The sequence below is a fragment of the Homo sapiens genome, chromosome 1, assembly GCF_000001405.40.
Source record: "Homo sapiens chromosome 1, GRCh38.p14 Primary Assembly".
NCBI classification, from domain to species: Eukaryota; Metazoa; Chordata; class Mammalia; order Primates; family Hominidae; genus Homo; species Homo sapiens.
The window spans coordinates 95,496,786-95,498,923 of NC_000001.11; positions in this window are offsets into that span (position 1 = coordinate 95,496,786).

Below are 2,138 nucleotides of genomic sequence, written 5' to 3' on the forward strand. Positions count from 1 at the left end.
TTTCCTTTCTTATATATCACGCTGTTTCATTTGGGGACCACATCTACCGTTTTTCTCTCCATAAACTATAAGCTAACGTTGCTAAGTGAACAAGCCAGTCCAGCTCTCCTCAGCATAAAACAATCCTGAATAATTATCAACAGGGCTGCTGAATATGACTACATGTTGTGCAACAGCAGGGGATGGGATTCACGTATGTAAATGGCATTCCTAAGGTTCTACAGTGTAGTGGCTCTGATTCCAAGGTACTTGCAAAAATGGAGCTGGGAGGCTAATCTGGGTAGTAGGAAAATGTTGGTCAGACGAAAGACAATAGGAAGAGAAGAAATATATTTTGACTACCCAAGTTTTCTGTGCAAAACTGAAAGTGTGCCTCTCTTACAAACGGCCCAAAAAATTGAGAATAAATGATAAGATTGTATAGGACTTTTAGATGAAAATGACAGAAACCGAAATCAAAACAATTTAGACAAAAGGGTTTTATTGGCCTAGATAATCCAGGAAAGGACTGAGCAATCAAATACAGGGAGGACAGTGATACAGTTGAGCCCAGACACAACTGCAATCAGGGATTCAAATGCTTTCATTTCTCTGTATTGGCTTCATTCTCTTTGAAGGCTGCTTTCTTCTGTGCGGCAGAGAACATGGCCTACTGATAGCTCCCAAGTTGTACATTTTAAATCTTTTGTTTCTAGACACTGATTCTCTTTCTTTGTTCCAGTGGGCAACACCTTGAGAAAAGACTCTGGTTGGCCTGGCTTGGACCAATTGGCTGTGGTCAGCATGGCAGCATTGTATAGAAAAATGGCAATTCCTCCACAGGAATCACATAGCCAGAGTGGAGTTAGGTTTGGAAAAATTCCCAGAAGAAGGAAAGCCTTCTGGGTAGGCTAAATAGCAGACGTCCACTCTGAAGCACATTTGCCCTTCTACACGTACTATAGTCTAAGGGGGATTTCTGTAGACTGCATGAAATCCTATCCGTATTCAGCAAGAATGCAGCTCTCTTCCGGCCTGTGGTTCCACTAAAGGCTTTCCCCTAATGCTGTTACAAGGGGCAGCTGTATGACAGCAATAGTTGCTTATTTATTCACTGTAGTGACAGTTACATTTCATGGAGCAGCTGCTGAAGCCAAAAATGTTCAGCAAGGGCAAAATGTGATAAAAGCTCAATGCAATTTGGTTGCACATTATTAAGTTTTAATTTTTGGTTCAGGAATAAATTTTGTTTTCTGAAGCTATTTTTAACTCGTTTCTACAGTTGAAAAAGAGATGAATTACTCTCATCCCATCAATTAAATTGGTTAGAAAACCCTCTTGGATTTAAGACCTGAGTTTACTCTAGCTGAAACACAGGCAAAGTAGAGTTTATTTGGGGGTGGAAGTAGAAGTAGGATTCTAGGGAATGAATTTGTAGTGGCGTTTTGAAGACATTTAAATTTTAACTTTTTACACCACATTTCTTTACCTGTAAAACGAGAATAATATTAACACTGTTGTTTGGATCAAATGAATTAATGAGTGCACAACAGTTAAAATGTAAAGCACTAGATGTTAGTTAGTGTTAGTGTATTATTACTACATTGATTTGTGCTCAATGAATGATTAGTCAACAAGTTTGATTGCAAGTAGTAGACACTCTCTCAAAAATATGGTTTGTTACAAGGCTGTATTAGACAATACCTCATGCAAAGAGGGTCCAATATTAAGTACAGGTGGGCCCCAAAGGGACAGGAGTCAGGAATGGAGATGTTCTCTCTTTCCCCAGGGCCATGTGGTTTCTTACCTCTGATTTTCCGTGTTTCTGTTCCATGCTCCTCTTTGCAGTTCAGCTTCTTCTCTCTATTCTTTCTTTCTTCTCTCAGGGCCCACATTAGAGCTTTTGCATAGCTTTGGTTTGGTATTAGCTCCAACTCCAAACCTGCCTGGGTTTTAGTTCTAGAGCCCATCGCAAAGTGGTGCATTCTATGTGTCTTAGTTGGCTTCTTATTAGAGAATGGTTGGCTGGCACTTGGCCTTGGGTCAGTTTTTCACCCTGGGACATCCACTGAGATGTGACAGGGCAGAGGGGTCCCATCAAACCACTTGGACCTGCCTCTTCAGCAGGGACTAAGGGCTGGGGAGCTGCTAGAAAGATG